The following is a 27,909-nucleotide window of genomic DNA, read 5'->3' as shown; positions in this document are numbered from 1 at the left end:
AGGGACAGAGCAGTCTTGAAACTTATGTGAATAAATTTTTTTTTTATTTTTACACCATAATCCAATTCTAGTTATCTTAATTGAATTTGAAAACTTTTTCAATTGCATTAAATTTACAAAAAAGTTCTCCCACATTACACTAAAGCATTCCTCATGTTTCACTTCCAGTACTCAGATACTGAATGAGTAAAATCATTTTATTGGCTCTCTTTTAATTAACTCCTTCAAATGCACATTGTTTAAAAACTGACTAGGTCAAAAATAGTTACGCCTGCAGGTTGACCTATTCAGACTTTGCCAAACTCCTCCAAGTTCAATATAAATTGACGTTTTCAGAGTACAAAGTCAATTTTACGGAAACGCTGTTCCTCCTTTTCCATGGAGCCAATCTGGGTAATTTTTTCATTAAAATTCTTCTTCTGCCTGTTTGCTGCGGAACTCTTTGAGCTGCTGTAGCCGCTCGATAGTTTCAGAAATGGTGCGTTCCCCGTGGACCTTATTGTCTCTTGTGCGGATATTAACAGTGCCACTGATTTTCTCTTTTTCACCAACAACTAAAACAAACACACAAAGCTTTGTCAGACTTAATCTAAAGATATGGAAGAATTCACACTGAACATCTGAAAAGAAATGATCCTAGGACCCAAAACCTACCCCATAGCTTCTGATACATTAAAAGGTACAAGTGACCATGTGTTGATATTTAAAAGAAACTCTTTGCAATATCTAAAACTACTGTGCTTATGGAGTCAATCTAGACAACGTAACAACCAAATAATAAAACCCCAAACATCATGAATATCTTTTTTCAAGTAATCCCACATAAGGCATTATCTTGAGAAAGTAATCCAATAGATGTGTTTAAAAGCAATGCGTCTTCATTCTTGTTATAATAGCAAAATATTTTCTCACAGACATCCATGATTTAAGTGAAAAAAAAAAAAACCCAGTATGTATGCATGAGCCTATTTTTATAGTTATTATATATTAAAATATATAATAGAAAAAAAATCAGGACTGGAAGGAACTAAATAAATTCTTGATTACAATTCACTTAAACCTGTCTCAAGGTTTCAGTAGATTTTCCTGAGGTGTGGCAAATTTTCTTTGGTAAGTTTCCATTCTTACCTAAAATGAAGTTATACTGTGCTAACTGTGCATTTCGAATCTTTTTATTCAATGTACAGCCTGGATCCAGATCAATGTCTGCCATGAATTTGGCATCGTGGAATTGTTGTCGTACCTATTGTAACAGAGATACAGAATTTGTCAGATCTAAAATCAGAATTATATTTTGATCTCACATGATTTTACTGAACACAGGGATCAGGACTTCTTGGATGAACTTCCAGGAATTTAAAGCTGGCAAAACTGTCTTAGATAATATTATTCACTGCCATTATTCCCCCCTCAAAAAGGCCAGCTCCTCTTTATTACCTCAGGTCATGTGTATTAAGTAAACAATGTTTTCAGTATTCTTTTCCAAAAAAGCAATAAACTAGATTACAATTTATTAATTTTACATTAACTAGATTAAACTTCCCATTAACCTGATAACATATTAACATGACAAAAAGACCTAAATGAACAATTTTATTTCACTATCATTTCATATGAACCTCAGATTACAGATGTGAAAAATATCACACGATCAACACCTGAAAGAAATGATCTTCAACTGAATAAATCTTAACTTCTGAGTATCAGAAAGTTTTTTTTTTTAATCAGGTTATCAGAGGCATTAGTCCCTTAACTTTAAAATAGAATAATATTTAATAGTCTAAAAGTAATTTAGATTAGAACAAATTAACAATGAGTATAAAAAATGTTTCTGTTCAGCCTGCTATGAGAGTTGGGCATTTTACATTCAAATCACCCCACACGTGGCAGAAAACTGTTTCCTTACAGTGGCCATTAACCCAAAGGAAGAACAGGAAAGTTGGAGGACGCTGGTGTTCCTTCCTCATCTCTGCCATAGAGACAGTACCATTGGGCTTTCACGCAAAGCCATGTGAGCAGTGACGGCCTATCCTCTTTTTGTAGACGCAGAAGTTACACTGTCTACTAGCAGAATCACCATCACAATTCCACCCAGACCTCTTAGAAGGGTCAGAGTTTCTGGAAATCCTGGTCAGAAAGCAGAATGAATTTTTCCAGGAAAACATCTTAAGTACAGCTGAAGGTGAAATAGTAACTATCATACTCTACTTAAGTATCATGAGTAAAACCAGCAATCTCTGGTTGACCTGGGTGACGAAATATTTCTTTCAATTTTTGATTGAAAAAGATTCTAAATGATCTACAACACATTCATTTCTCAAATGCGAGTTATGTGTAAACCAAGGGTTATTTATGTATGTCAAATGTTTATTTCTATAAGGCATACTTTTTGAAACAATCTAAGTGACTTTGCCTATACTGTGCACAAGTCTTAGCATTTTAACTAGATTTTTAAGCCACAGTGATCACGAACCAATTAACCTGTTGACATTTTATTACACCCATTTCAGAAGGGTTGTTACAGAATTTTAGAATGCCAAGATAGGTCTACATCTTCAACTTATAACTACTTTAAAGAATAAGGCATCAGTTTCTTCATTTTTCTCAACATGGGTCCTGTGTGTGCACGTGAGATGGGCAATTCTGCAGTTGGGGAAGTGGCCTGATAATTACAGGGTGTTTAACATGTCTGCTCTATAGTTATTAGGTATCAGGAGTACTGCCCTGTCTTCTCTCCCCGCAAAAGAAAAGCTTACCACCACATAATCTGGAATGCCACCTACCCGCAAAGGGAAATGGGGAAGTCAGTGCTGTCTCCAGTTGAGAACTCAGTTAACCAATACAGAACTTCTTCCTACTGTGTGAGTTTTCACATACAAATAAGACAAAGTGCACTCAACCATGGAACATAACTTTGATTGTCATCATTTGTAACTAAAACTACTGAGTGCAGTAACAGGAATAGTCTGAATGGTTTATCTATTAGATGGTTTAGTGTTCACTTCATTTTTTTTATTTATTTATTTGTTTTTATTTATTTATTTTTTTGAGATGGAGTCTTGCTCTGTCACCCAGGCTGGAGTGCAGTGGCATGATCTTGGCTCACTGCAAGCTCCGCCTCCTGGGTTCATTCCATTCTCCTGCCTCAGCCTCCTGAGTAGCTGGGACTACAGGTGCCCGCCACTGCGCCCAGCTAATTTTTTGTATTTTTTAGTAGAGACGGGGTTTCACCATGGTCTTGATCTCCTGACCTCGTGATCCACCCGCCTCGGCCTCCCAAAGTGCTGGGATTACAGGCGTGAGCCACCACGCCTGGCCCACTTCAGTTTTTTTTTAAGAGATGGGGTCTCACTATGTTGCTCAGGCTGGAATGCAGTGGCTACTCACAAGCACAATCATCACACCCTGAACCCTCAAAGATCCTCCTGCCTCAAGCTCCTAAGTAGCTGGGACTACAGGTATGCATCTCCATGCTCAAGTTCATTTATTTCTTAAGGGTAATTAAGAACTGAGTGTGGTTTATTCTGATGGTCTGAAGACATGATGGTTTTGATGTTACAGTATTGTTCACTCATCAACTTTTAATAATTTGAAATTCCTTAGTATGGAATTTTCACTATGGCAGAACAATGCTTTAAAGTGAAGTTATGAATGGCTATACATTTGTTGGTAAGTTAGTTTTTTTGGTAGAGAGGCAAGACATTGGTCTGCTATACTATTAACCTGAAAAAATTTCAACTACCTGAAGAAATTTACATTAAAATGAAGCAAAATTACTCACTGAGTCAAAGAGCAGCCTAAACTGTATTTTGAACGGGAATTTACCTACCATACTGAAGTACCTGATATCTGCTAATCTGGTTTTTTAAAATACTAAATACTAAAATATACAAGTGTAACTGGGTATGGTGGCTCCTGCCTGTAGTCACTGCTACTCGGGAGGCCAAGGTGGGAGGACTGCGTGAGCCCAGGAGTTTGAGGTTACAGTGAGCCATGACTGTACTACTGCACTCCAGTTGGGGCAAGAGAAAGATCCCATCTCTTAAAACAAATACAATAAAATATACAAGTGTACATAAAACACTATCCAAATATGTCTTCTGATTATGGAATCATGGAGAAAAGCATTAAAGAAGTAATATAATCTATTCAGGCTTAACAAAGATTAAAAATAGTAACATTTCTCTTTATCACAACAGCTCGATTCACCAAGAATACAGGGCTTATGTGATTTGAAAAGCTGAACAACAGATGTTAAATTGAAAGAAAATTCATATCTAAGGCTTACCTTTTGGGCATATTCATCACAGGTTGGTCCCACTGGAACTACCATTACCTGGCGAGGGGACAGCCAAAAGGGCCTTTGGAAGAGAATAAAAATATTCAGTGTAGATGTGGGCATATTCACTAAACAGGGACAGCATATTTCTTACTCTACTCTTCAGTATCTTTTCCTGGAACATGTAACGACTACTTTTAAAACTTGGCTTTAAAAAACCCCAAAATGAAAAGACCTATCCAATAAAGATTAAGGCGAGGAGATGCAGGAGAAGAAAACTAACCCTACGTAAGGAAAGCCTGTAACTACAATTTGTCTTGCTAAGTAGATAGCAAAGCAAATTGAGGATAGGACTAGGCCTCACACTTTAATACATCACAAAACACTGTGTATTGGCTGTGAGAGGAGGTAACAAATGATTTAATAACTGCATGTAGTGATTAATTGTTCATTTTATTACTTATTCTTCACGGGGACACAGTGCCCTCAGTTTACTCAACATCCATTTTGTATCATTCAGCAAATTGTAATTGATAATAACTGGTTATGGCACTTGGTAAAAATCAGAGTTTTCACTACTTATTAAAAAATAAGCCCATCCAATTCTCCCTTTGAAGCAATACAAGTGTCAAATGCTTCTGATGCTGCAAACATCAGGCTAATGTTTTTCTCCATCATTCCTCTATTTTCAGTTGTTCTGTTGTATCAGGCAAAAGGCTAAAGTAGGCACTAAATTCTACCCTAATCATGGACTTTTCCCCACCTAAAACAGGTTTAGCAGAGCAATTAGCTGAGGACTCCCTTAATTCTTGAAATACCTTGCAGAGAATGTGTCTCACATTTTATCTGACTTTGAGAAATCTAGAGATTATCTTGTATCATTGATCAGAATGAGAAACTGTCCTAATTTCTGAAGTAACCAAGTTCAAATAAAACTGAAATGACAGTAATGTGTAAGATTAAACCAATGTACGTCATTTTACAAAAGTTTTAAATCAATATGATTAATATGGAAGGCTCTACACACGGGTGCTTTTATAACCCTGTGCTGCTTTCAAATGCACTGTGGGTCCAGAAAAAACTGCTTAAGAATTAAGATGAAAGTTATGTGGCCATGTATCTTGGAAACAAAAACTTACTTAACCTCACAGAAATGAATCACAAATGTTGATCGGTTTGGCATCTGTTTTAAAAAATGCTTGGCTTTTAAAACATGTCCAAATACCTGCTTGTTATGATTAGCAAGGCTGAACGAAGAAAGCCATAAGCCTCCTCATTTATCTATGTAAAACCAGCAAAGCCATCTAAATCCCAAAACAAAGTTACTAGAAAAGCATCCAAAACAGTAAGTATACTTCTTACAGAATACTAATTCCTAATTAGAAAGTATTACACAACATCCAAACAAATCAAGTTCTGGAATTAAAGTAATTACTATTAGCAATTGTTCTTAATGCTAAAAAGTTTGTGTTTAGATTGTGATTCCTTATTTTTTAATGAACACTTGTCGTTAGTTAGAAGCAACCGATTGGAATCATTCTCCCTTTCCATCTGATAATTAAATCGAAAAGTAGACATTTCTTGTAGCCAATTTATACTAATCAGAAAAAAAAGACAGTGACAAAAATTACCATTTGCCCCCATAGTTTTCTGTGAGGATAGCAATCATTCTTTCCACTGATCCCAAGATGGCTCGATGAACAATCACTGGCCTTTTCTTATCATCACCATCATGGCTATAAAGAAAAAAAAAATTGTTTTGTCTTATTATATATATTTTCTCTTATATATCCCTGGAGAATATTCAGAGCAGACACCAGAAACTCACCTTACATAAGTAAGATTAAATCTGATGGGCAACTGGAAATCCAGCTGGATGGTTGCACACTGGTGGTACCGCCCAATCGCATCTTTAATCTGTATGTCAATCTAAGAAGCAAAGACTGGGTTATTATAAAATGCCAGTGATACTAAAGTGGAGCTCAATAGTTGGATTAGGGCTGATTTTCTTTTTTCCAACTTTTTTCGAAGTCGTATCTTCTTCATCCACAAGTGAAAATCATATTACCCAAATGTACTTTAGTGCTCACCTTTGGGCCATAGAAAGCTCCATCTCCAGAGTTTAACTCCCACTTTTCACCAAATTCATTCAGACTGTTTTCAAGTTGCTGAGGATAAAGCAAAATGATTTTTATTTTTTTCATCGCAATTTCCCTTCTTTTAGCCTAATTTGAGACTAAAAATACAGTAATTACTTTCATAGATCAATATTCTCTGCTTTAGAATTTTGTCCACCTGAACATATGCTCATACCAACCCCTTTTTAAAGCTTATAGCTTGATAACTGAAAAAAGTCATGAAAACATTCAACCATTTCAAAAATACACAATCATAAAGAAAAAAACTAGCTTACACAAACCTAGGAACCATTTCCAATTTCATTTTGCTTTTATCCATTTAAAGAGGCTTGGCTTTCTTACATCTCAGAACAAGCCAATTTCAAACAGTATTCAAAAGCACGCTGAAAAACACCACTTACTTTCTCAGCTTGATCCCATACTTCGATATCTCCAAGGAATTTTTCCGGGCGAGTAGAAAGGTTTAGTTTAAAAGAAAATCCAAATACGCTATATACCGTACGTAGAAAATCCAAACAACCTTTTATTTCATCTTCAATCTTCAAATTAAAAAACAAAAAAAGAAACAGTAGTTATTTTCCTTGACTTTCTTGACTCTTCTTTCTAAGTATTTTATTCCCAGGGTCTCATACCTGCTCCATGGCACAGAATATGTGAGCATCATCCTGTTGGAATCTTCGTACCCGGGTGAGTCCTGTGAGTGCTCCAGACAGCTCGTTCCTATGAAGTACCCCAAAATCAGCTAGCCGCAGAGGCAGTTCTCGCCAGGACCTTGGCCGATGATCAAACATAAGGCTGAAGAGAAAAAGAAAAGTCCACGGACACTTAAGAATAAAACTGCTTCTGTAATGCTATATTTAATTACACGAAAGGTTGTCAAAAAGCCACTGATTCTAGCTGTCCATCCAAGCAACATTTCTCAAATTCTGGGCTACATACAGCAGTAAAAGCACTTGCATGAATAAAACAGCAAATAAGTTATAACTCAATGAACCACAGTGAAGAATTAAAAAACGTATTCCAACAACTGAAGAATCTGGGAAAATTAAGAATGAACTTGGTTGGTCCCCTAGCCTATAATACAGCTTCTTCACAAAGATTCTTCTCTCACCTCCTCTGCCCTCCAGGCCTGGCTAGTAGGAGCTGCAGACACTAAGCTACCTGTATCCACAGCTCTCCTGTGTCTTCCCTTAAGCTGTTCTTCACCCAACTTTCAAAGATAGAAAGCAGAGCGGCCTCATGACAAGGAACATTTTCCAAGAATGCTGAGTCATTAGCAGGTTTTGACAGAACAGGTTTCTTTAAAACAACAACACACTAGGTAATTTGTTACACCCCCATATTTCATCTTCCTGTTTTATAGTCTGCCTTGGTCATTGCTATGATCCCAGTACCATTACTGAATGCCCACAGATCTGGAGATCTGGCTGGGCACAGTGGCTCATGCCTGTAATCCCAGCGCTTTGGGAAGCCAAGGTTGAAGGACCGCTTGAGGCCAGGAGTTTGAGACCAGGCTGAGCAACGTGGCAAGACCTCATCTCTACAGAAATAAAATTTTAAAAATTAGCTGGGCATGGTGGCATATACCTGCAGTCCCAGCTGCAGTGAGCTATAATCGCATACCTGCACTCCAGTTGGAAGACCTCTTTAAAAAAAAAAAAAAAAAAAGTGGGGATCTAATCAGGTGCAGAAGATATAATACAAAGATGTTGCGTTTAAATGCTCTTCTGATCACATAATTTGTTTTTAATGAAAATGTTGTTAAAGGAGGGAAGAACCCAGGATGAATTGTAGCATGTGAAAATCTTCAGTAGAAATTCAAAGCTGCCGAATACCAGTGTCCTGGGCAGTTCATGGGTTTCAGGGCAAACAGCTCCTTCTCCACCTCAAAGGAGAACATGTTCTCGCTGTAGTGCTGCCAGTGGCCCGAGGTCATCCAGAGTCGGCTGTTGAAGATGTTTGGGGTGACTACCTCCTGGAATCCTCTTTTCCTATATTCGCTCTGATAGAAAATAAACAGAAACATGTGTAGGCAAATAAATGCTCATACTTCAAGTGGGAGTAAAAACTTAAAGAGTGATTTTATACTCTCTCATGAAAAAGATGGACACATGCCATGATTCAGAAATCCCACTTCTAAGTATATACCAGAGAGAAAACTCTTGGCACATGTACCTAAGGAGGCTTATAAAAGTGATGCTACTGCAGCATGGCTGATAATAAGGGACAATTATACATCAGTGTCCATCAATACAGGGATGAGTGCATTGTGGTAGTTATATAACAAAATAATATGTAGCAAGTGAAAATAAACTTGATTTGCATGTCTCTAAAAATAAATCACAAGGCAGTCTGATACACAATGAGGCTTCCTATATGTAACACACAAATACATAAATAATTTAAGGGTACAAATACATGGGCTAGATATAAGTAACATGGACAAAAAGAATCCATGCCAACTTCAAAACAGTAGTTTCTTCTAGAAAACTGGTATATGATATACCAGTATATGGATATATATACCAGTATATGGAGGTATATGGATCAAAACTGGGTCCTAAAGAGAGGCTTTTTAAACAACTAATTTTTTTTTTAATATCATGAATGAAAAAATCTCAAGCAAATATAGCCCAATGTGAATATTTGTTAAATGTGGGTAGTTAAGTACAAGATATTGGATATACTATTCTCTATAAACTTATACTTGAAACATTTCATAATTTACAAAGGAAAAAAGCAATGTAAAAACCGTTTTTTCAAAGAAAATACAAATAAATGATCAAAGTCAAAGAGGGCACAGAGCTCCTATGTCAAGGACCACAGGTCCCCCTTCAAGCTCACCAGTTTCTATGTGTATATGGGCAAAATCAACTATTAGGGATGATTTATGAGGCCACAGACTTCTACTTTTACTTATCGTCTTATATATTTCTTCTCAAATACAGATTATCTTTCCTTTTAGTAGACCTTATTTAATAAAATGATCACATATCCTAAATCTAAAGAAGAAAGCAATAAATATGACTTACCCTAATGAATTCAATAAGTGCATTATAAATGTAGGCTCCTTTTGGCAGAAAAAAGCAACTTCCAGGGCTGAGTTCATGAAAGAAATATAGTTCTTGGTCCTGGGTAAAAGAAAAGCAAAAGAATGTTTATGTACGTCACGTATACGTGTGTGTATATATACATAAATTTCAGTGTTCTTGAGCTCAGAATATGGTCATGATGTCCCATATTTCAATCAGTGCCACTCCTGAATCAAAGAAACCATGTCAGTGTTTCTGATGTTATAGAATTGCAGCTGATTTACAATTTGGCAGACGTGTAACACATGCCCTGCCTGTTATATTCCTCAATCCAGTCAAGTTTCCCCAACAGTGGCAGGGAATAAGGGTCCCTTCAGTTCTTTAACTATCCACTGCAGTACCTCTCATGGTTCTTAAATTCCTTAAAGCTCCAAGATCTGGATCTTTTTTCATTTTATTTATGTATGTATTTATTTTCTTAGTAAGAGTATCAGGAAGGAGACTGGGAAAAAGACACTGATAATGAAATAGATGATGGTAAAGTTGGCTGACTTTGGGTCATGGTGAAAGAAACACACCCTCCTACCTCCTTGCCAACATCCGCCTCCCCAAGTGCCCAAAAGCCCTCAGGGAAGGGCCCATCAATCATTGCTGGCTGCCTCATAGCTGGAATGTCAGGTAGTCAGGGGTGCAAGGCAGTGGCTGCTACCTCCAGCTCAAGCTTCATAACCTAATAGCCAAGGACCCCTGGCACAGAGTGCCTATTTTAAGGGGGAATGTTTTATCTAGCCTAACTTCCAGTTTAGAGGACATTCAGCAGTAACAGAGATAATGGGTAGAGGAAATGATAGCACAGGATCCATGTGCGACATGCTGCTAAACCTTGGGCAACAAGTAGGTTAATCTTTGTGGGACTCTGTTTCCACATTTTAAATGAGTCAGTGAAACTAGAGGGTTTCCATAGTTCTCCCAGCTCTATGAGAAGCTGTTATACTTCTTTTACAGAAAACCGTAGATCATCAGTGTTTGCTCTCAATAAAAGTAGTTCAAATGCATTTTTGTGCGGTACTGAGCATACTCCAGGCAGATAATGTGGACAATCAGTAAGTGTTTATAGTTTGTACAGGACATAGCACCAGTTACTAAAAAGCCACAACATCTCTTCAAAACAAAATTCCTAGTACTTCATGCAGCTGAATTTCAAACTTCAAATGAAGTTGAAGAAAACTCAGTCAAGACACATCATTGTTCTTGAACATACCCTGCCAATTTTCCTATGATCTCGGTTTTTAGCTTCCTCTTGGAACTTCTCCCACTCTTTCAACATTTTAGGATCTGGGAATGAAATGCCATAAATTCTCTGGAGAGTCTCCATATCTGCTTTGCCTTCCCAGTACGTGGAGGAATTCTGAAAACAAGGATTAACCATGAAACAACATTCAAATTTGTAAACATCTCACTTATTTTAACTCCCAATTGCTTTGAGGCCTTGTTAGAGTAGTTACTCATTCTGCAGCACAAAGTTGGCTGTTTTCTATCCTCAAAAATGCCCCTCCCTCAATCTGCAGGTGGGTGCAGTGGCTCATGCCTGTAATCCCAGCACTCTGTGAAGCCGAGGCAAGAGGATTGCTTGAGCCTGGGAGTTCGAGACCAGCCTGGGAAACACAGGGAGACCCCATTCTTTATTTAAAAAAAAGAAAATTACCCAGGCATGGTGGTGTGCGCTTATGGTCGCAGCTACTCAGGAGGCTAAGGCAGGAGGACTGCTTGAGCCTGGAGTGCAGTGGCACGATCTCCATTCACTGCAACCTCATTTCCCAGGCTCAAGTGGTCCTCCACTCTGTCTTTTTGGGGCAACAGAGTGAGACCCATTCTACACCCCAATACCCCCAAAACTGCCCACCCCTCAATACTCAACCACAATTCCACAAACATTACTTTGCCTGCAAAGGCATTTCTCACAAAATGAGCAAAAATAGAAATGAGCCAATAAAAAAAAAATCTTGAAATGACTCAATTATTCTCTTGATTTAAAGTGCATTTTAAAAACCTCCATAAAATGTTTATGAACTAGTATAAAACTGGGTTCTGTTAAAAACAACAACTTGGGAAATTATTAATTTAGACATATAAAGGGCAAAAGCACATACTCCCAGTGAGTCTCAAAGCTTTTATAGAGCCAGGATGGCCCATGCTGTATGATTTTGTAAAATCTCCATCCCCTGTGATTGCTCTGGCAATGACAGCAAGTCAGTCACCCCTTGAGGGATTTCAATTATAAAATCCTGATGGCATACAGCTCCCAGTTAATAGAGAGCATGAGAAAATACCATCCTTTCATGTGCAACAGAAAATGGTAAAGAGAAATCAGTGAAAGTTTAAACATATATCTATTCTAGACAGATACATTCACAGTCTTTAAAGTTACATTACTTACTTTGTGTATTTTTAAAGCCTTAATTTTGCCCGTGTGTCTAACATGAGGACCCCGGCAGAGATCTATCAAAGGGCCACATCTAAAGATAAAATGAAAGGAATTTTAACAAAGACAAAATGACATACATACCAGATACATTTAATGACATCTAATATTCTTACCTATAGACTGTGGTAGTTGGAGTATTCACCTTTTCATTCAATATCCGGCATTTGAACTTGTTGTACTGAAAACAGGAAAAATTATTATTTTAAAAAACTGTCCTTTAATTTTTACTTCTAAGTACTATAGCTAAAACGTAGCACTGTATGAATATAAATGTTGATACTTCATGTTTTAAAAACATGTTGAAGGAATGGTTTGCTAGGAAAAAAATGAAATTAAAAAAATAATAAAAACACTTAATTTTTGCTAAAGAACCAATTAGACTTCAGCTTAGTACACGGAACGCCAGTGGTGTCACTTCAACTAACATGAATAAATGATATTAACAGTGGGGGCCACGCACTATGGTTCAATTTACCTTAAACATTGCCAGTAAAGTTTCTTTCTTAACTTCCAGTCTTTCAAAAGCTTGTTTTTCTTTAATGATTTTCTTACACAAAGCCTCCAGAGAAGAGAAATCATTGCTAGACACACCCCTGAAGGAGAAGAAAGTATAATCTTTTCATTCCATTCGAATCACACCATGGCTTCGAAAAATGTTCATTTGGAAATAGTATTTGGAATACTTCAAGGGTTTTAATATTAAAAAATTAGACTATTGCATCGTATCTTAGAATTCTAAACAAAACATTTTTCATAAGTAATTTTTACATTTTATATTTTCAGTAGCTTCTACCTTGGTCATCCATGGAGACCTTTCTCACTAGTGACCCCTTCCCGCAACTCTATCACCAGGTTTTAAAGGAGAGGGGAGGACCAGTCTCCCTGAATTTCCCAAAATACCTTAGGACTCTACCTCCATCAATCTAGAACAGAGGTCTCATCAAATCCTCTATTACTTCAGGTAAATTGCAACACTTCAAGTACTGATAATGGGCATACCTGATGAAGAAGCAGTGAGATCTATATCATTCCTCCCTTACTGAGAACTCTTAAGAATAACTTATGGATCCATAGTCATTGACTTCAGTTTTCTTTATCTAGTTGATGGCTTACCCTTCTTCGAGGTACATGTCATAATAGAATCCATTTTCTATTGGCGGACCGTAGCATAAACATCCACCATAGACTCTTTCCATGGCTTCACCCATTATGTGAGCACTAGAGTGCCAATACACCTGAAAATTTAAAGAAAAATGGCATGGTCTGAGTCTTGGCATACAAGTTGCCAATTAATGTGGTTGTCTGAAAGAGACAGATGATAATATTTACTACAAGTAAACCCAATATATAAAATCCTAAATTTCTAAATCTATAAACTACTGTTTCTATCCATAGCCAAAGTAATTCAAAAGGCTTCCAATTACTAGTGTATTTTTATTTTGGAAATCATCTGGTTTAGCTGTTTTCAAACAAATTAAACTAAACTTGGCATCACTAATTAAATGACATAGACTTTGTTCTCTGAAAACAACTGCTACTCACAATGTGACTAACTCATTGATTGCAATGGCCCAGGTTCTTTTGAGTCAATGTGCCCACAGCACCATGTCTCAGACACTGTGATCTGGCCTTTAGCTGGCTATGGAACATCACTTAGAAATTACATGTTGTTACTGGCCCAAAACAAAGGTGGTACAACCCGACCCCACAACACAATGACAAAACACGAGGACAAACATCTGTACACTGAAATCAAATGGCAGTACTTGGTTTTAAAGTAATCACTGGGATGAGTCAGAATACACCCAAAGCAATGTTTTCAAGATTTAGTATTAAGGTACCAAAGTGACATTAAAAAATTCTCGTAAGAAACTTGAGGGCTCCAAAATACATTTGAAAACCACTAATCCACATACATAAGTGAACAATCATCACTAAAACAAAATACTTTGTCTCCCCTTATATGATACACAGCCATGGAGAATTAAAAAGAAAATCTTGTCATCACATGCAGGTTGACTTTTATAGTGTTATCCAGCAGATTTGCATCTTAAGATGAGAAAAAAATACAGAAATTATCCAATAAAGGCAGTGCTTTGAAGTAAGGTTCAAATTTATTTGTCAAATGTACATATCTTGCTAGAGTGTTCATAGCTTAGAGGCCAGGCACAGTGGCTCACACCTATAATCCCAGCACTTTGGGGGGCCGAGGTGGGCAGATCACTTGAGGTCAGGAGTTCAAGACCAGCCTGGCCAACATGGTGAAACCCCATCTCTACTAAAAATACAAAAATTAGCCAAGTGTGGTAGTGCGCTCCTATAATCCCAGCTACTTGGGAGGCTGAGGCAGGAGAATAGCTTGAACCTGGGAGGTGGAGGTTGTACTGAGGCAAGAGCGCACCACTGCACTACAGTCTGAGTGACAAAGCAAGACTCCATCATTAAAAAAAAAAAAAATTAAAATAAAATAGTGTTCACAGTTTAGAAAACAATTTTTACTTGCTTAATCAATGTTTAATACAATTCCCAAAACATTTTCCCTATTGAAGTGTCTAGTAATGAAAAGACTTATTCAGCTTCACCCCTTTATTTTCTAAGGCAAGCACTTTTATTATGTTCCCTAAATGAAGGACAAAATGAAGATTTCAAATATGACAGTGAGACAACAATAAATGTTAGCCACCCAATCGCAGCAGGACTGAGCTGGAAAAGACTTCAAATGTGAATCTGCATCCTAAAATTCAATGAATACTAATCAGCAACTTACTGCCTGAGCTTCCTCATCCTCAAACTTGAGAAGCTCCAAGGTACAATCTTCTTCCAGAGGGCGGTCCAGGTCCCACACAACATTATTTACTTTAGCAATAACGGTGTTGTCGGCCAGGCCTTGACTTAAAAAAAAAAAAAAAAAAAAAAGTCCACACATATATAAGTACACACGAATCTAATTTGAAAACAGGAAAATAAACACTATTTTTATTATATATTGTTTTTTTATATTGATGTATCTCTATTTTTCTGAAATATAATGATAAAAACAACAAATTCCAAAAATGTACCTAAGAACCTAACTGGAAGATCCTGAAAATGCAGAACATTATCATTTGACATTGAATGCCTCCTGTTTAAGCAGATATGGCAACTCTGATAAATAAGCACTATCAATTTCCAATGGTTTGAATAATCTTAATTTCTCCAACAAATAAGTTTTTTTTTTTTTAATTTTTTAGCGACAGGGTCTTGCTATGTTGCGCAGGCTGGCCTCCTGGCCTGAAGCAATCCTCCAACATCAGCCTCTAGAGTAGCTGGGACAACTGGCACAAGTCACCACACCGAGTTTTCTCTTAATACACCCACCTTTCTCTTTCTACAAAGCTAAGCTATGTAGACTCCAAAGGAAAAAAAAAAGGCCTACTAAATAACTTCTCTGTTCCTCTTCCTGCTTAAAATGTACACCAGATCCTTTCTTTGACAGACAATGCTAACCTCAGAATAAATTCTGCAAATGCCTATGATAATATTTATAACAAATATAGAGGTAAAATGAAAGACTATTTAATAAAACTTTCCATATAATGTGAGTAAAAACATTACACACCCAATATACAACATCGAACATAAAGTATCATCAAGTGATGAAATATCAGAGCACACAGAGTGTAAAAGCTACAGGAGTTCTGAGGAGGGAAAGCAGTACAGGTCAGAGTCATCTGGAAAGGCTTTGAGGATAAAGCACTCACAGGAAGAAAAGAGGAGGCCATGGCATTCCAGATGAGGGAATGGCCACAGATGCAAGCAGAGATGCAAGTGAAGAGAGGTTTTTGCAGGAAGCTGTGTGACTAGAGCAGAGTTGAGTAGGTGAGCCAGATTATACATCTAAATGCACAGCTAGAGAAATAATAGTCTATAACAGCCTGGACATCTCAACGAAGGTAGGCAACATTCTACACTGTGAAGAAAAAGTATACACCCTTTACACTGTAAATCTCAAAGAAACCTACCACTAGAAGGCTTTAAGCTAGCCAGGCTTGCTGTGTTGGTGGCTCTCTATGTCTAAGGGTTTACAACAAAATGTATACAACTCCTATCTGAGGATCAAGAGAAAAGAACCAAACAGAAAGTAAACAACAAACTCCTTTCTATTTTCAATGCTCCTACTAACTTTACCATAGGTTATAAACAATGTTTTCTTTCCTCCTGAGATCAGATGGAGTCAATAAAATAAATACATGCATTTCACAAAACATAACATGAATTTGGCAGAGAGAAATGTATTTCATCATATTGGTGTAAAACAGTTTTCAGGAGATTAAAGAACTGATAAAAAGGATAATCATATTCTCTATATTCTTTGGGAAGAACATGACTTTTATCTTATGATCCAATATGGAGCCCCAAGATTCTAAGAATAGAGTTACTCTGAAAATGTAGATTACACATGGGCCATACTGGATCATTTCAATTTTTCAAAGAAGGGTAAAATAATCTTTAAGATTTGTAACAAAACGGCCAGGCGCAGTGGCTCACGCCTGTAATCCCAGCACTTTGGGAGGCCGAGGCGGGTGGATCACGAGGTCAGGAGATCAAGACCATCCTGGCTAACACAGTGAAACCCCGTCTCTACTAAAAATACAAAAATTAGGCAGGCGTGGTGGCGGGCGCCTGTAATCCCAGCTACTCAGGAGGCCGAGGCAGGAGAATGGCGTCAACCCAGGAAGCGGAGCTTGCAGTGAGCCAAGATGGCGCCAATGCACTCCAGCCTGGGCGACAGAGCGAGACTCCTCCGTCTCAAAAAAAAAAAAAAAAGATTTATAACAAAACTTCAAAGAAAAACCTTTTGACGCAAATGGAACATGTCTTTTTTGTCCTTCCCTTTCATATTCACCACTAATTATGTGAATCTTTAAATAGCCTGTTATCAATGTTATAATTTTTCACAGAACAAAAAGTTATTCTGGACTTTTGTAAAAATTTCATAAAGTATTCTCAGTGCAGATCAGTGACTTAACTCCAGAGCTAAAGCCCATCAATGTTTTATGTAATTCAACCTTTTATTTTTTTCCCTGGAGACGGACTCTCGCTCTGTCACCAAGGCTGGAGTGCAGTGGCTCAATCTTGGCTCACTGCAACCTCCACCTCCCGAGTTCAAGCTATCCTCCCACCTCAGCCTCCAAGTAGTTGGGACTACAGGTGTGCGCCACCATGACTGGCTAATTTTTGTATTTTTAGTAGAGACAGGGTTTCGCCATGTTGGCCAGGCTGGTCTTGAACTCCTGACCTCAGGTGATCTGCCTGCCTTGGCCTCTCAAAGTGCTGGGATTACAGCTGTGAGCCAACACGCCCAGCTATGTAATTCAACTTAGAATTTTATAGTTCTTGAAGAATATTTTTCAACTGAAGACTTGATAAATTACAATGTAATCTAGATCAACATTGTAGAAGGTAGAGGAAAAAGTTCCCAAACTAACAGAAGCCTAAATTTTAATGACACGGCTACAATCTCATTGTGTGACAACAGAGGAATCTATTAATCAACCTGACCTTCAAAATTATCTCTAAAATGAAAGGTTGAACTGATACGTAAAGGTCTATCCAGTTCTCTATGCTCTCACATAGAAACTTGCATGGTATTACAACTTTTTACTTCCTTTGGAGTAAGGTAGAAGAACTTGTAGGTAGAAGCACTTGTCAAATGAATGGAAACACTCCATTCACTTTGTAAAAAGTACTAACTAATGTCTGTGGTACAGTAGATGCTCATGGCTCATAGGCCTAACTGGTTCTGCTTCTACTAGTTGTATAATACGCTTACCAAGAATCAGCCACGTTGGTTCCCCAAACTGTTTTTGTGCTTGTTCTTTTACGTGTTTGGTTCAACAATACAAAATTGATGATAATCAACCACATGACAATTCATATGGTGATTCCAAATGGTTCAATTCAATACATAACACTTATAAATAAACTTCAAAAATATATAATTATAAAATAACACAATAAGGGAATTATGGATTCTATGAAAACCAAGTTGAATGTTTGAGAAGGCTTGATAAATCCAAGTCACACACACAAAAACACTGTCAAGTTAGGTGTAACTCTACAACTACATGAAAATCTGCAAGGATTCTGTGCTCAGACTACTTCTCGTATGTGTTAAGATAATGTAAGAACTCTAATTAGCACTCGCTATCCCCCAAACCTTGCCATACATATATATATTCACTGTTTTATGTATGTATATAAAGTTAGTGAATACATACATATTCACATATTTTAAGTTGAAGTGTTTAAGACCAAGATTGGCAAGCTTTTTCTGTAAAAGGCCACACAAATATTTTACACTTTGCAGGCCAAACATGGTCTCTGTTGTATATTCTTAGTTGTTTTATTTTTTCCAACTATTTAAAAATTTAAGAATCATTTTTGGCTGGGCGCGGTGGGTCACGCCTGTAATCCCAGCACTTTGGGAGGCCGAGGCGGACGGATCACAAGGTCAGGAGATCGAGACCATCCTGGCTAGCACGGTGAAACCCCGTCTCTACTAAAAATACAAAAAATTAGCCGGGCGTGGTGGCGGGCACCTGTAGTCCCAGCTACTCGGGAGGCTGAGGCAGGAGAATGGCGTGAACCTGGGAGGTGGAGCTTGCAGTGAGCCAAGATCGCGCCACTGCACTCTAGCCTCCTGGGCAACAGAGCAAGACTCTGTCTCAAAAAAAAAAAAAAAAAAAAAAAAAGAAAGAAAAAAAGAATCATTTTTATTTTTCGCTTTCAGGACATACACAAACAGATTATGACTAGAGTTTCCCAATACCCAGTTTAAGATATATATATATACACGTGTATATATACGCGTATATATATACACATATATATGTTTTACCAACTCTTATTTTGATAAACTGACCAATTATTGATCCCAATCATATCAGATTAAGAAAGCCTCTCCCCTATTACAAAATATGCATCTAATTCTCAGTTAATTGAAATAACTTCTTCCCACCCCAATAAAAGTTTTAAGACTAGGAATAGTCTTTCATTGAATTTATAAAAATAGTACATTTTTTTCATGTGTTATATGAAGTTTCTTAACCTTTCCATGTGAGATTATGTAGCTTCATTTTTAACTTCAAAACCAAGACATTTAAGTCGAAATAGGTAAACACTGTCTAGTCGGTTTTGTAACATTTATAATCATAGTAAGACTAAAAATATACAATGCCCCAAAAGATAAGACCAAAGTAAACTCTTTCAGAAATTAACTTTGAATTTTGACTACAAAGCTCTGTATCATTTTGATTTTTAAAAAATCTCAAGTAGGCAAAATTAAACAGATTAAAAACACTGAATGGTAACATAAAAATATTATAAGAATAAAACATGGCAAGATAATAAAAGGAAGTTTAGTTAGACCACAAACTATGGAAGGTCATGATGGGTGTAGCTTATACCTAATTCCACAGGCAATTTGATATGGTGTAGTTTTCCAAGATTCCGCATCAACCTGTTTACCATCAGGCAAAGTGACTTTAATTGGCTTGCTATCTTTTTCTGCCTTTTCTGCCAGAATGGAATCATGTTCTGCTTTTAGTATATTATACATCTCAAGACGTGTGTAAATATATTCAGGCCAAGGATTCAACTGCAAGACAACAAACAAATCAGGAAATAAATGATCAGTAAATATTGCTTTCCTATTTAGAAATGGGAAAGAAATAATAAAAACAATACAGAAACCCAGGACTATTGATTCAATGTGGTAAATAAACACTGCCAAAATCACCCGGCATTACCTCAATTTGGTTCTAAATGAAGGTAAAAGAAGGAATTAAATGCCCTATTCTTATGCTGAATCGACAATTACCATTTTGCTACTATTTACAGCAAGTGGTCTTTTCTCTTTTAAGATGTCTTCTTAGGATCTTTTCTAACTAAATTATTTTACAAATAGAGCTATAAACAATACTGGAAATAAAAACAATAAACTGGCTTTTCTATTTTGTTTCATTCATGTCCAGGTGATGGTCTGTGCAGCGGGTCAGCCTATATGTCCACTCACAACCAATCACAAATTTCTTTGACTTAAGGTCTCCCCTTCAAGGAAAGTATTTACTGAATTCAAAGATGCCATGATCAGCTTGGAGTATGTAATTAGCAACTATATAAAACAACACACTACTACTTTCTATAGCAGATAAAATTAACAAAAATATTCTATATAAAACACCCACTTAGGTTTCTAGAGGTTTGGCAAAGAAAGAAAAAGAGACAGCAATCAGAGAGCTGACTTCTTCTACTGTCACTCTATAATCTATGGAACATTTCAAAAAGGCAGTGAATCTGTGGTAACAAAACAGTCAAACTAACATCTACAGCATTCATCATCTTCAAATTACATGAACATTAACACTTCATACAAAAGTGAAGAGGAGATTGCTTAATTTTGCCATGACTTTCTATCTTCAAATGAATTTCAATCTATCAGATATAAAATGACTTACTGCAATACAGATTTTAACATTTATTCAATGTTGATAATGCTACCAACGTCTCCATACATATGTCTCCATATATATCAACATACCACAATTTGAAAGGAGTACAAGGGAATATCTAATCCTTAAGAAACTGACTGGGGCAGGGCATGGTGGTTCATTCCTGTAATCCCAGCACTTAGGGAGGCCAAGGCAGATGGATCACTTGAGGCCAGGAGTTCGATACCACCCTGGCCAACATGGCAAAATCCTATCTCTACTAAAAATACAAAAATTAGCCAGGTGTGGTGGCGCACACCTGTAGTCCCAGCTACTTGTGGGGCTGAGGCATAAGAATTGCTTGAACCTGGGAGGTGGAGGTTGCAGTGAGCCAAGATTGGGCCACTGCACTCCAACCTGGGCAACAGAGTGAGACCTTGTCTCAAACAAAACAAAACAAAACAAAATTGACTGGAGATAATAGAAAATAATATCAAATGAAAAAGATTAATTGTCTGCCCAGTAATTCCTTCCCTCCCTCCTTCTTTCCATTCTTTAACGACAGGGTTTCACTATGTTGCCTAGGCTGGCTGGAGCGCAGTGACTATTCACAGGCACAGTCACAGCGCATTTTGGCCCCAAACTCCTGGGCTCCAGTGATTCTCCCACTCAGTCTCAAGTGATTGGTTCCTACCACCGTATCAGGCCCTAATATCTTTGTAATTCCCACCCACAGCAGTCCCTCCCTTTCTTTAGTCGTTCAGTTGTTGAGAGCTTTTCATCAAATTATCACAACGGTCCATAACCTTCAATGGTGAAGAACCCATGAATTAACTAAAAGCTCAGACAGAGCCTGTCATTCTACAACCATAATCTGAACCCCTCAGACTAATGCACAGTACCCAGTTCCATCCACTCTAAAGCATCATTATAATCCTACCCACCTGCACCACCCTCTGTATCTTAACTGCAGTTTATCATCATAGCCACTTGCAATGTCCCAATTAGAATTTCGTGTCAAAATCTCTTCAACATTCATTCAGCAGATACCCTCTGTGTCAGTCTCTGTGATTGCAGAGATGAATAAAACCTGCAAGTTGCCCTTGGAGGGGAAGACCAAGGTCTTGGACAGTTCACTGTACACTCTTTTTTCCAGACCAATCGTTAAACATAAATAATCACATGTCCCACTTAAAATTCTCTGTTCAGAAGAGTCTTCTAATTATACTCTTTGTCTTATTTCCAGGTCATTTCTCAAGCTGTGATGGAACAGCACGTATGTTTGTATTGAAAGTATAAAAAAGAAATTAGGGAACATATGCATTTTTCCATTGGCTTGCAAATTTTAAAATTCACAATCAACAATTTTCTTCACAATTACAGTGGGGGTATAATGGTCGGGAGACTGATCAACTGATCAGCCGTAAGATAAATGGTTAGGTAGGGTTCTAAGCAACACTACACTTGATCATCTATAAACTTACCCTAAAGTAAATGACGGCACTATAAATTTAGCAATTGCAGCATTTGTAAAAGTGGCTCTTAAAAGCCAGCTTACTGTGCTACTTCTAAAAAGGCTGTTCCTTTGTGCTTCTTCCTTCTGGTAGCTTTCTAAAGAGTCTCCAATAAAACAGCTGTAATGACTAAAGCAAAAAGTGAAGCACAGTTCACAGCAGTAAAAATAAAGTAGAAAGGCAAGCTTAACTGCCTGTAAAAGCAAAATACTCAGGAACCAGGTTGATTTAGGGCTGGCTTTTGATATGCCAGTTCCTTTCAGTGTGAGCCTGGAGAAGTGAAAGCATTTTCTGCAGACTTGAGAGGCCTTAAGGGGATCTGTCCTGGCTTAGAAGCCAACCCTAGGGCAGGTCCAGATGGAAAGGGCAAGGAGGGGGTCAAAAAACTGGCTTTCTTTGGTTTTCATTGTATTCAGTGTAAGCCCAAACACCAAGTCTCTATTCCCTAACATCTCATTTAATGAAATGTCAGAGCTGGCATCACATCTGGCAACTGAATAATTACCAGTCTCCTCTTCAACTTTTGTTCTCTGATTTTTATATTCAACCCTACAATCAGATCATCTTATACAATCATACGCCAGTTGCTTCCTTTTACAGTAACAACTGAAAGTCTTTTTTCCCCTCTCAGATTACCCTTTCCTAATTCTTCTTCCTGATTTTTCCAACCAGTACCATCTTACACTACCATGTAAACCATTAGAACCCTTACACATTAGGAAAGTCTCAGAAAGTTCCCTGCGATTTGCCAACCTCTGATAACAGAGCCCTCTGTGATGATAACTTTTACCTCAGCTCGACCTCCATCTCCAGATCCTTCTTTGTTCTTCTTTTTGCCTCCTTCCTTTTGCTTCTCTTCACCAGCACCAATCTAAATAAGCAAAAAACGTTTTATATTTTAATCTAATGTGACACCTCCATCCTGTGATGCCCCAGGAAGTGTTGAGAATGTTATTTTAGTATTTGTTATTTAATTTAAAAAAAATGGAAATCTGATATTGAAAGACTGAACAATTTCATCACTGGCAAAGACAGGTTAACAACTTACAATAAAGGCAAGTCTTTAAAAAGTAGGAAGGAGTTACTAACGATGTTTAACTCCTCAAATTTCATTTATTTTATTTTAACTATTCTTGTGACTCTCGCTTCAGGTTTACTTGGACCACATACCAAACATATGGCCACAAGGAAGCACGCAGTTGATTCAGTAAGCATATTTCCAGGGGAAAAAAAAAAAAACTGAATGCAAAGTGTGCCCATGAATTCCACCAGTGCTAACAAAAGCCATGGAAGAAGCAAACATAAGGCCCAATCCCTACCATGTGTAAACCTAGTCTCTCCAGGGAAAGTAAGGCATACATGTGTGAGAAACTCCCGGAGGAGAAAACACAGTAGTAACGCTACGATTAGATGTCAAATAAGCTAGGACTAGCGTTTTAAAGGATGGAATGCATTTCAACAGGTGGATTCTGAGAATACAGGAAATGTGTCCTATGTGTACACATAAGCTTGTTGTCAGAAATGTTAAAATTTAAAGAGAGAAAAAATGACTAAACCAGGCTGATTAATGAAGGATTGTTTTAGAAAGTAATACAAGGTAAGACAGACTAAGGCTCACAGAAGCAAGAACTAAAAGTTACCATAAGGAATACAGACTTCAATTAGAAGCAAGTGAAGTCATAGAAAGTTTTAAAGTAATAAATCCTGTGCCAGGAATGTAAACAGGGATTTTAATTAGTTTGCATGTTTGTGACCTTTAGTTTTCTTAAGTTTTAAGATACAATTCATATACCATACAAGTTACCCATGTAAAGTACACAATTCAATGGTTTTTAGGTATTCACTGTTTTGCAACTATCACTACCATCAATTTTAGAGTATTTTCATCACCCTCAAAAAGAAACCTTGTACCCATTAGCAGTTTACTCCCTGTTGCCTTCATCTCCAGACCCTGGCAACCATTAACCTAGTTTCTGTTTCTATAGATTTGCCTATTCTGGGAATTTCATATAAATAGAATCACACATTATGTGGTCTTTTGTGACAGGCTTCTTTTAGTTAGCATAATAATTTCAAGATCATCAGGTTGTAACATGCATCAATACTTGTCATTGTACCTTTTTATTATCAAATAATATTCCATTGCTTACTTATCCATTTATCAGTTGATGGACATTTTGGCCATTGTCTTTTAAATCCTATAAAATGCGTTACTTGTATAATTAAAAAAAAAACTAATTTTAAAATATGACTCCTAATTTCATGCTGAGCTAAAATCCCCCCTACTCCAGAAGTCTGGATTTAATAAACTTTAAAGGTTCATTTAGATTCAATAGAGCCTTTGTTATACTGCAGAAGTGATGTAACTGATCAAGTATACTGGGTAAAAAGAAAAATTGCGGCTGGGCGCGGTGGCTCATGCCTGTAATCCCAGCACTTTGGGAGGCCGAGGCGGGCAGATCACGAGGTCAGGAGATCGAGACCATCCTGGCTAACACGGTGAAACCCCGTCTCTACTAAAAAATACAAAAAAAATTAGCCGGGCGTGGTGGCGGGTGCCTGTAGTCCCAGCTACTCGGGAGGCTGAGGCAGGAGAATGGCTGGAACCCGGGAGGCGGAGCTTGCAGTGAGCAGAGATCGCGCCACTGCACTCCAGCCTGGGAGACAGAGCAAGACTCCATTTCAACAACAACAACGACAACAAAAAAAAAAAAAAAAAGAAAGAAAAATTGCAGGTCTGTGCAGGTTTAAAATGGAAAGATGATAAAATAAGTTTTATATTTCTGATAAGATTATTTTGGTTTTGACCATTTGCCAAATGAACAGGGGTAGTGAGAGAGAGAGAGAGAGAGAGAGAGAGAGAGAGAGAGAGAGGGAGAGAGAGAGAGGGAATCACCACAAAGGTTTTCTGGTTCTAAATACGGCTCCATTTTACAAACAAGAACACTGGCTCAAAGAAGTAACTTGCCCATTTGTATCATTAAGTAATAGAGCTGGGAAATTACAACAGGTCTCTCTGGAACCCTGAGGCCTATGACCCCTTTTCTACAACACTGGGAAGAGAGTAGGCAACTGTTCTCTATTTCCCTGAGTATATATGGTATGTACATCTACATACAAGTAATCTAAAATCTCAACCCAAAAGTTGGGAAACAGAACCGGATTGTGAAGAGAAGCTACAGAATTACCTTTCTCAGGAATGATCTGTCCCTGACTCACTCAGAACAGCACAGGGGTTATTAGTATTGGCTATAGGATACTGGGTTTGAGGAAGGAAAAAAACGGGGATACTGGGTTTGAGCAAGTTACTGTTCCTACGCCTGCTTTCTCATCTGTATAATGGAGATAATAACAGAACCCACTTCACAGCGTTATTAAGAAGACTGAATGAGGCCGGGCGCGGTGGATCACGCCTGTAATCCAAGAACTTTGGGAGGCCGAGACGGGCGGATCACGAGGTCAGGAGATCGAGACCATCCTGGCTAACACGGTGAAACCCCGTCTCTACTAAAAATACAAAAAATTAGCCAGGCCTGGTGGCTGAGGCAGGAGAATGGCATGAACCCGGGAGGTGGAGCTTGCAGTGAGCCGAGATCGCACCACGGCACTCCAGCCTGAGTGACAGAGCGAGACTCCGTCTCAAAAAAAAGAAGACTGAATGAGTTAATTCATGGAATGCATTAATACAGTGCCAAACTCGTATTTAGTACTCAAAATAAATATTAACTATTGTATAATTATTACAGGAAGGAAAAATTACATATGTGTTAACCATACATATCACGTCCAATTAAGAATAGCACAGGAGAATATTTATGGACATGGAAAGTTGTTGACCACATTCTATTAAGCAAAAAAAAAAAAAAAAAAAAAAGTTACAAAACAGTAAAAATATCATTTTATGTGAAAAAAATCTACGTATAGTCACCATTTATCATCTAGAATTAAATTTACATAGTTAGAATGTGCCCGTATGCAGTTTCTCCATTCAATCTCGAGTGGACAATCAAGAAAAAAATTTGGCTTTTAAGTGAACTGTCCTGTCACAGACTTGGGATAGAGGATCCCTTAGCTGAAGACGTCACCACTTCTCACTTGGACTATTACAACAGCCTTCTGCATGTGGCCTAACCTTCTATCCCAATGCCAGCGTGACTTTTACAAATACAATCTTCCTGCTTAAGATCCTTCATGTATAGAATACAAGTTTCAAACATCCTTGTTGCCTAAGATCCTTCTGATTACTGTTCCTTTAACCCTTCTGGCATATCTCTTGCAAACAACCCGAAAGACAATTCACCTGCGTGCCCCTTTTCACTGCCTTCCCTACCTTTACGTGGGAAGCCCCGTCCTGCCTGTTTACCTGGTGAAATCATTCTTCCAAACTAAATTCTAAAGTGCCTTCCTAAACTTCCTCTTCTGTAATACCACAAGGTTGATCACAAAGCACTAGGGCTGTTTTCCTGTCTCTTACACATCAGCCTGTGAGGCCCTCAAAGTCGGGGAACTGGGCCCTATTCATCTTCCCACATGCACCGCCCAGATCAGTGCCGGGCAAAATGTATACTTAACCACCCAAACTTGGACAAGCTGGGTCAGATCTCGGGCACTCGGTTTTCCTTTCCTTAAAATGGAGCTCTTTACCCCCGCAGGATCTTAGGAGATTGATTAAATAAGGCTCTGCAATGTGTTTCCCGCTTACAGTAAGCCATAAACGCAAGTTTGGAAGCCTCAAGCCTAAGATTCTGATTCTGTCTCCGCGTCTAACTACTGTAGATGTGAGGCTCTGAACAAGTCGCTCACTCAAGGTCTGTTTCCTCATCTGTAAAGAGAATGGACCCACAGATGAACTGCAAGGCCCCACCCTAATTTATGAATGGATGGTTCCCAAAGGGGGTTCCGACTTTCCAGGAGTCCCACCATCCCCCACTTCTCCGACCCACGCGGTCCCGGCCGCTTCCTGCTTCCTGCCCCCCGCTCCCGCCGCGAGCGTAGCGTCTGCACCCACTAGAGTCCCAGGCTGGTCTCTGGGTCCCACCAAGTTTGCTCACCGGCTTCTCCTCGCCTCCCATCTTCCCTGAAGGACTGCTGGCCTTCTCCTCAAACATTGGCGAACGACGAAGCGATGAGAGAACCCGAAAGCGACGGCCTAGAGGAGAGGAGCCAAGAGGCGGGTGGGAGGTGGGCTAGCGCCCGGGACTTGGCCTCGGCTGGACCAGCTGATGCAATCGAAAGGCGCCCTAACCCCGCCCCCAACTTGCGGCGGAACGAGCAGCCAATGGATAACGGGGGAAGGCGGGCCCTCCCTCCTCTAAGCCAGTGGAAAATCTTTTCGGGTGACAGAGCCCTTCTAGGAAATCAGGTCGCGGAGGGTGAGGAGGAGCAACTGCAGAAGCTACATGCCTACTCTCCGCTGACCTTGGTCTGGACGCTTTCCAGAGTCAAGTCCCCAATGCGCGTGCGCCTTTCCTCCCTTCTGACTTTATGTGGAACAATCATGGACCTTCCCGGACACCGTAGATAATAAGTAGGTCTTGGTCTAAACTTCCGGGAAGTTTTCGGCGACCTGGATACCATCTTCGACACGGGGACAAATCCCGGGATGGAGTCCAGGGTTTCCCGCGGCTTCGGCGCTTCCTGACCTGGCGTGACTGCCGACTTGTCGGCACCACCCAGGCCTCAGGCTCCCTGTCTGTAGTGGTGAATCGACCTTCCTCATGGCAGTCCAGGCTTCCCAAGCCCCATGTCCTGTTGATCCGGGACAAACTCTTCCTTGAACGTTCTTCACTACGAGCCGCTGCTGATCTGTACTGCCTGGAGGAGCATTTCCATAGCGCCCGCAAAAATACAATAAAGCTCACCCAAGGAAATAACCATGGATTCTCACGCCTGGGTGCCAGTGTTTGGAATCGACTGGGCTTTTTTATGTTAGTAGGCAATTTAAAACAATTACTTATTTGAAATCAGAAGCGCAATAGGCATAACTTCAG

The 27,909-nt window shown here is 38.6% G+C and overlaps 1 protein-coding gene and 1 long non-coding RNA gene across 7 annotated transcripts in view, besides 8 other annotated features; one reads left to right on the top strand and one right to left on the bottom strand.

Annotated features, from left to right (window-relative positions):
• Positions 1 to 22: 22 nt before the first annotated feature.
• Positions 23 to 27,418, bottom strand: TARS1 (threonyl-tRNA synthetase 1). 6 transcript variants are annotated; one of them, NM_001258437.1, is made up of 20 exons: positions 27,323 to 27,418; positions 26,971 to 27,068; positions 22,710 to 22,790; positions 19,383 to 19,573; positions 14,702 to 14,825; positions 13,048 to 13,169; positions 12,410 to 12,527; positions 12,048 to 12,112; positions 11,887 to 11,965; positions 10,711 to 10,857; positions 9,450 to 9,548; positions 8,253 to 8,419; positions 7,050 to 7,212; positions 6,819 to 6,956; positions 6,370 to 6,447; positions 6,108 to 6,208; positions 5,911 to 6,015; positions 4,289 to 4,361; positions 1,129 to 1,243; positions 23 to 554 (listed from the first exon to the last, which is right to left on the bottom strand). In NM_001258437.1, exons 2-20 carry the CDS (start codon positions 27,025 to 27,027, stop codon positions 406 to 408), a joined length of 2,172 nt encoding a protein of 723 aa, NP_001245366.1. In that variant the 5' UTR covers positions 27,028 to 27,068; positions 27,323 to 27,418; the 3' UTR covers positions 23 to 405. The 6 variants fall into 6 exon arrangements, 3 of the variants coding, with proteins under 3 accessions (NP_001245366.1, NP_001245367.1, NP_689508.3); NR_047676.2 differs by lacking the exon at positions 27,323 to 27,418 and adding an exon at positions 21,350 to 21,470 and having other exon boundaries at positions 28 to 554; positions 26,971 to 27,149; NM_001258438.2 differs by lacking the exon at positions 27,323 to 27,418 and adding an exon at positions 15,675 to 15,773 and having other exon boundaries at positions 28 to 554; positions 26,971 to 27,149.
• Positions 6,494 to 7,693: an enhancer, noted in NCBI's record as "BRD4-independent group 4 enhancer chr5:33460526-33461725 (GRCh37/hg19 assembly coordinates)". NCBI's record gives its function as "activates an origin of replication core promoter dependent on BRD2, P300/CBP, MED14 and CDK7 cofactors, and independent of BRD4, by STARR-seq in HCT116 cells {active_cell/tissue: HCT116}" and the evidence as "EXISTENCE:reporter gene assay evidence [ECO:0000049][PMID:35650434]".
• Positions 19,316 to 19,829: an enhancer, noted in NCBI's record as "OCT4-NANOG hESC enhancer chr5:33448391-33448904 (GRCh37/hg19 assembly coordinates)". NCBI's record gives its function as "activates a minimal SCP1, AML or CMV promoter by ChIP-STARR-seq in naive and primed H9 embryonic stem cells {active_cell/tissue: H9 hESC(naive and primed)}" and the evidence as "EXISTENCE:reporter gene assay evidence [ECO:0000049][PMID:30033119]".
• Positions 19,830 to 20,343: an enhancer, noted in NCBI's record as "OCT4-NANOG hESC enhancer chr5:33447877-33448390 (GRCh37/hg19 assembly coordinates)". NCBI's record gives its function as "activates a minimal SCP1, AML or CMV promoter by ChIP-STARR-seq in naive H9 embryonic stem cells {active_cell/tissue: H9 hESC(naive)}" and the evidence as "EXISTENCE:reporter gene assay evidence [ECO:0000049][PMID:30033119]".
• Positions 26,041 to 26,627: an enhancer, noted in NCBI's record as "NANOG-H3K27ac-H3K4me1 hESC enhancer chr5:33441593-33442179 (GRCh37/hg19 assembly coordinates)". NCBI's record gives its function as "activates a minimal SCP1, AML or CMV promoter by ChIP-STARR-seq in naive H9 embryonic stem cells {active_cell/tissue: H9 hESC(naive)}" and the evidence as "EXISTENCE:reporter gene assay evidence [ECO:0000049][PMID:30033119]".
• Positions 26,642 to 26,701: an enhancer, noted in NCBI's record as "active region_22455". NCBI's record gives its function as "activates an Ori minimal core promoter by ATAC-STARR-seq in GM12878 lymphoblastoid cells {active_cell/tissue: GM12878}" and the evidence as "EXISTENCE:reporter gene assay evidence [ECO:0000049][PMID:35858748]".
• Positions 26,962 to 27,151: an enhancer, noted in NCBI's record as "active region_22454". NCBI's record gives its function as "activates an Ori minimal core promoter by ATAC-STARR-seq in GM12878 lymphoblastoid cells {active_cell/tissue: GM12878}" and the evidence as "EXISTENCE:reporter gene assay evidence [ECO:0000049][PMID:35858748]".
• Positions 27,216 to 27,803: an enhancer, noted in NCBI's record as "H3K27ac hESC enhancer chr5:33440417-33441004 (GRCh37/hg19 assembly coordinates)". NCBI's record gives its function as "activates a minimal SCP1, AML or CMV promoter by ChIP-STARR-seq in naive H9 embryonic stem cells {active_cell/tissue: H9 hESC(naive)}" and the evidence as "EXISTENCE:reporter gene assay evidence [ECO:0000049][PMID:30033119]".
• Positions 27,252 to 27,561: an enhancer, noted in NCBI's record as "active region_22453". NCBI's record gives its function as "activates an Ori minimal core promoter by ATAC-STARR-seq in GM12878 lymphoblastoid cells {active_cell/tissue: GM12878}" and the evidence as "EXISTENCE:reporter gene assay evidence [ECO:0000049][PMID:35858748]".
• The window catches only part of TARS1-DT (TARS1 divergent transcript), a 32,713-nt gene continuing 32,283 nt past the window's right edge, over positions 27,480 to 27,909 (top strand). The window contains exon 1 of the long non-coding RNA XR_001742630.2: positions 27,480 to 27,909. This is a non-coding gene — a long non-coding RNA (TARS1 divergent transcript).

The sequence above is a fragment of the Homo sapiens genome, chromosome 5 (genome assembly GCF_000001405.40).
Source record: "Homo sapiens chromosome 5, GRCh38.p14 Primary Assembly".
Classification (NCBI taxonomy): domain Eukaryota; kingdom Metazoa; phylum Chordata; class Mammalia; order Primates; family Hominidae; genus Homo; species Homo sapiens.
This window is presented reverse-complemented; position numbering and strand designations above follow the sequence as displayed.

Coding starts and splice junctions, on each gene's coding strand:
- TARS1 (NM_001258438.2), bottom strand. CDS start 27,027: ATGTTTGAGGAGAAGGCCAGCAGTCCTTCAGGGAAGATGGGAGGCGAG. Junction 11,966..12,047: donor CCAACTACCACAGTCTATAG/GTAAGAATATTA, acceptor TTTTATCTTTAG/ATGTGGCCCTTTGATAGATC. Junction 7,213..8,252: donor ATGAACTGCCCAGGACACTG/GTATTCGGCAGC, acceptor TTTTCTCTTCAG/CCTTATGTTTGATCATCGGC.